This window comes from Homo sapiens, chromosome 16, assembly GCF_000001405.40.
Source record: "Homo sapiens chromosome 16, GRCh38.p14 Primary Assembly".
NCBI lineage: Eukaryota > Metazoa > Chordata > Mammalia > Primates > Hominidae > Homo > Homo sapiens.
Window position 1 is genome coordinate 77,027,706 of NC_000016.10, and position 6,018 is coordinate 77,033,723.

Below are 6,018 nucleotides of genomic sequence, written 5' to 3' on the forward strand. Positions count from 1 at the left end.
TCTTACACTCTGTCTCCAACAAAATCGCCTGCAGTTGTCCATGGCAGATATAACCTTTTATAAAAACTAAGTACAAGAGAATTGAACTACATGGGCTAGATTTGTGCACATTCCCAAAATACCACAACCCTCTTTCCTTTTTTTTTTTTTTTTGTTTTCTTTTGAGACAGAGTCTCACTCTGTCACTCAGGCTGGAATGCAGTGGTGTGATCTCGGCTCACTGCAATCAGGTGCAAGCGATTCTGGTGCCTTAACCTCCCAAGTAGCTGAGATTACAGGCGCGCACCAGCACACCTGACTAATTTTCTGTATTTTAGTAGAGGCGGGGTTTCACCATGTTGCCCAAGCTGGTCTCAAACTCCTGAGCTCAGGCAATCCGCCTGCCTCAGCCTCCCAAAGTGCTAAGATTACAGGCGTGAGCCACCTTGCCAAGCCCCCCAACCCTCTTTCCTGATCAATTCCTTAGGGACCCCTGAGGATTCAGAACATGCTGTGGCAGTGATCCGTTTCATCATCACTCTGGCACCCTATCACCTGGCACACATATTCTTCCTGCTGCTAGGAATGGATGAATGCACTGGAGAAAGCCAGCTCCTTGGTGACTCCCTATAAACAAATGTGTATTTTCCCTTGGAAAACATCCCTGTCTGAGGAACCAGTTAGCAGCTATTCTTGGCTGAATTTATTTTTTCTTTTGCCCTGTTGTGGGCATTTTGACTTCATTGTGTGTCCATTTTCCCTAAATAGAAAACACAAGGTCTATGCTGAATGTTTCAAAAAGAAACATTCTACAAAAATAAACTTCTACAAAAATGGTAGAAGTTTCTGGTTTGGTCTTGATAAGCCTAGTTCTAAAAATAAGAAGTGAGGACAGTAGGTTTTATATTGGTCTTTCTTCTGTTTAAAGAAGCAGCAACATTCTAAACTCACTAAGCCCACTAAGTACTATATAAGCAAGTGCTACCAAAATGAGGCCATTTCTGCCCACAGGGATTTGGATGTGTCAAAGTCCTATTTCCCACCACTGGTCAGTACCAGGACAGAAATAGCATCCTGAGAGTGAGTTGTGTCATCCTTTGAATTGAAAGAGGCTTGAAGGCCCTGCCCTAAGGCATTCGCTTCATGGGTAAACGTCCTGTTTAGCAAACATGTCAGTAGGACAAAAGTGAATCTTCAAATAAATTGGATACAAGATAGACAAGTTTTGCTGAGATTTTCTGGGGAAAGGGTCAAGAAAGGCCCGGAACATGTAATTATCAAAAGAATAAGACAGCTCAGGTTCCAAATGGAGGCTGGTGTCTGAGCAGGAGCTAGGGCCTTGAAGTCAAGCAGATCTCTTTTGACACCTGGGTTTGCTACCGGCATGAAGCCCTGCAACATTAAACAAATCTTTGAACAGTTCTTGCTATGCTTTGGTGTTCTCAGTTTGAAGATGGGATCGATGCCTATCCCAAAGTGTTATTGTGATAGGCTGAGGAGCTGACATAAAGCTCTTGGTTCTTCTAAATTCTCATTCAGTGGTGCTGGTCAATATTAAACCCCTCCTCCAGACACACATCGTCACTTAAGATATCTCCCAACCTGCAAGCACAGAGCTTGTATACACAAGGCCAAAGGTACAAAGCACTACTTTCTTAATCTTTTCCTGTGATTGGCAAAACTCTAAAAATGGCGCCCAAGATTTCACACCCTAATCCCTGGAAGCCATAAATATGAAACGATGTCACTCTCATCATTATTCCCATGTAACGCAGCCAAGCGCTTGTGTCATGCCATATGGTACAGTTGACTATGAAACAGGGAGGTAACCTGGGGGTATCACACGGGTCCTTTTAAGCAAACAGCTTTCCCAGCTGTTGAAGAAGGAAAAGTTGGAGAAATTTAAAGTGAGAAGGAAAAGTTGGAGAGATTTTAACATACTGTTGCTGTTCAGAAGACAATCCACAAGAGGATAAATGTCATGGTCTGAAGTTGCTGAAAGACCTCCCCACCAGCCACTGGCAGCCATGGAGTGAGGAGTGGGACCTCAGTTCTACACCTGCAAGGAACTGGATTCTGCTGACACCTAGAGCCAGCATGTGTCTAAGTCCCTTTGTGTGGCTGTAACAGAATAGCCCAGACTGGGTAATTTATAAAGAACAGACAGTTCTGAAGGCTGGGAAGCCCTATATCAAGATGCCGGCACCTGCTGAGGGCCTTTCTGCTATATACTCTCATGAAAGAAGGGCAAGAGAAAGCCAGCTACCTTCCCAAAGCCCTTTGCAAGGACACCTGATCCCATTCACAAAGGAGGCGCCCTCATAGTCTACCCACCTCTTAAAGTCCCCACCTCTTAATACTATCACATTGGCAACAGCTGGATTTTGGAGAGGACACATTCAAACCATAGAGGCTTGGAAGTAGATTCTTCCTCTGAGCATCCAGGGAGAAATGCAGCCCTGCTGACACCTTGATTGCATCGTTTTGAGACTGAAGCAGAGATCCCAGCTGAGCCATGCCTGTCTTCTGGAACAGTGAGATAAGACATCTGTGTAGCTTTAAACCGCTATATTTTTAAGGAATATGTTATATAGCAATAGAAAACTGCTACACTGAGATAGCAAGAGAGTCAGAGAGAGAGAAAGAGAGAGAGAGAGAATGGGCAAATGAAGCAAAAGCAATCAACAATTGGTGAACCTGGGAAAAGGATATAAAAGCCTTCTTTGTGTTATTATTCTTGCAACTTTTCTGTAAATTTGAAATTACAGCAAAATAAAAAGTTGCACATAATTAAAGCACAGGATAAAATAAAGCCCTTTGGCATCTGTGTAACTGCTAGTATATAATGCAAACTCATAAACCCTCCTTTAAAGTGTGCAGGAGATGGGTGTCTGCCATGAGTGATCCTCAGAGAGAAGATAAGTATTCAGTGACTCTGATAACAAATTCTCTGGTCTATTCCAGATGGTATGAGGTCAAAAGAAGGCTTCTCTTTTTAATTTTGGTATTAATATCTCTTTTAAAAAAGATCTCTGCCTGAATCTAATTATAGGAGGTTCATGACTCCTATCATGGCTATTATAGGGCCATTAATCCAAGGATACAGCACTGTGCTAATGCTGAATATTGGTGTATTAAGAAATGCATGATCATTCCCTTGAGAATGTCTAAAACCACATCCGTGTGATGAAGAGATCATTTGCACACATAAAGCAACATTTAAGACACCAGGTTGTTGAGTTTACAATGCAAAGCCTCAAAAATTAGTGTAGGCTTGATAATGTTAATAACTAATTCATCCATCAGTGGTGTTCTGTGGTCCTTCTAAATAAAGTAAAACAAACATGGATAAGCAGAATCTGTTTGATGTTGATTTCTCTGCTTTGCCCTTACTAGAAAATACATTTGAGAGAGCCTAGAAATAAGTCAAACGTTGCTCAAGTTATGTTTTAAAATATCCTCTAGGTCTGTTTTCTGTATTTCCTCTGTCAGTTCTCTCTCAGTTCTACATTTTTCATTAAGCTTCTTGGATTAACTTTCATCCCCGTACCTTCTGTCAATAGTACTCTAAGATATTTTGACATTGATTATCAACATCAGTTTCAGTTTGATGCCATCTTTTGTGCACTGTGGGACTTCGGCATGCCTTTTCTTTCTTTGCTTTTCCCCCCCACTTAGCTCATTTGAATTCCTATATCTCCTGACAGGTGGGCACATCATAATACTACAAAGCAGTTTCAAGCACAAGAAAAACAGACTTTATTTGAGCTCCACCACTCTTCTGTCCATGGAAAACCATCTTCTTTGCTTATAATAACTTACCAGTGGCCAAAGGACTAAAACCACGGACTCATTGAACTGTTATCAGATCTCTTCAGGGCAGCATGAGCTAGGGAGGGAAAACCTCAGCCTTCCTCTCAAGACAGTGCTTTCCATTTTTGGACAATGATAATGGTTTGTTAGAAAACACTTATCTGTGTGGATATGAATCTGCACCTCTATAACTTCTAATCATCATTCATTGTTTCTACGTTTATTCAATTATTATTCCTTTTGGGTTGGGTTAAAATAATTCCTTTTTCGAATTGACAGTTCTTCTAAGATGTGAAGATATCCTCTTCCCTTCCAGGCCCCAGCTCCTCTCTTTTCCAGCTAAAGTATACCAGAATTTTCCCAAGGCTTACCTGTGAGCATCTCACACTTGGTTGTCCTCCTCTGGACCAGCCCATTTAGTAAGCATCACTCTGTGTGTGCAGATATGTAGATATACATGTATATACATATATACAGTAGCCTAATGTTATAGAGTATAATAAAATTCTTGAAAATGAGACAGAGTTATCATTGACTTACCAATTATTATCTTGTCCTGGATAGGATTCAGGCATCTGCATCCTCTATCTTTATAAAAATCAGCCAAACACACACTTCAGTCTTTTTTTATTTTGAGACAGGGTCTCACTCTGTCACCCAGGCTGGAGTGCGGTGGTGTGATCATGGCTCACTGCAGCCTTGACCTCCTGGGCTCAAGCCATCCCTCTGCCTCAGCCTCCCAAGTAGCTGGCACCACAGGCACATGCGGTCACACTAGGCTAAGAGTGTGTGTGTGTGTGTATTTTTGTAGAGATAAAGTTTCACAGTGTTTCCTAGGCTGGGCCTGGGGCTTGAACTCCTGGGCTCAAAGGACCCTCCCACCTTGGCCTCCCAAAGTGCTGGAATTACAGCAGTGAGCCACCACGCCCACCCTCAGTCTTTATATTATGCTAATGGAGGATGGTGTGTTTGCAGGTTGGGAGGTGCTGTCATATTTTAATTAAGTGTTATTCTGTCTCTATAAACATTCAAATGCCAGTAGAGAATAATTCAAATTTTAACTGAAGTAACTGATAGTCTGTAATTACCAATTTTATAGTTGCCAAGTTTTTTTCAGACACTTATATGAAACCATTGCTTCATTGTAGCAAGGGCGCACTCCTACAGAACATTTTATTTAGCTGTCAATCCATTCATATGGGAATGTAAGTACACTTAGTTTTATTTGTTCTCTTAAAGAAACAACCATCTTAAAAATAAAATGAGCATACTAGCTTTCAAGAATGCAGCTATTTAATAGGTAGCCTCTGTCACAGACAAAATAAATGGTACCTAATTCATAAAAAGTTAAAATTTAGTCACATTCTGGGCAAATTAGCAGGTTGAAATATTGGTGGTATTCTCATAATAGCTAGACTGCAATTCTGAGAAAACTATGCTGTTTTATTGTAACTAGCAGGCCTAGAAGTCTTGTAGGCTTTCAAATCTCTGGGCATAATTTTCTGTGGTCCTACGACCTAAAGCAAAGTAAATTGCAGGATTAAAATTTGCAAAGACTGAGTGACAGTACTGCCCTAAATTCACAAAATTTTCACACACAGAACGTTGTAATTTTCACATTAGACATCTAGTCTTGTTTCTATACCTATGAGTAACTTATTTAAACCCATTCAAACTGTTTTATTTAGCATAATGATGCTATGTTAATGTTTAATTCTCTTTTATATGAAATTTGAGTGAGCAAAGAAAAATATCACATTGGTCCAGAAACCTTTTAATATTTTTGTCGTCTTAAGGTAAAGAGCTATAATTCTGGTTATCTCTAGGTAAAATGCAGCAGTGATATTCACAACACAGAATTGAAGCTTTTAACTGAGTATGACCTGCACTTAGATTTTGGAAAAATTAACAATTTTGCTTTGGATGCCATTATCCTTCCTCACTTGCTGAACAAGAATGTTCCTATCCTTTGCAAAATAAGACCTAGGATTTCCCTTGAATCTGTATTTAAATTTGTGATATGATAATAATATAAAAATAAATGTGCCTACCAAATACAAATGTTCTTAACCTACTACAAAATTAAAATTACCATTATAGCTATTTCTGCTTATAAACTCCATTCGTTTTCAGAGGTTGCTGCTTTCTCCCTAATGGCTCCTTGAAATTATGACCAGCTGTTCTTGTTACTTAAATGTTTGATAGGAAAACACCTGGAAATAAATG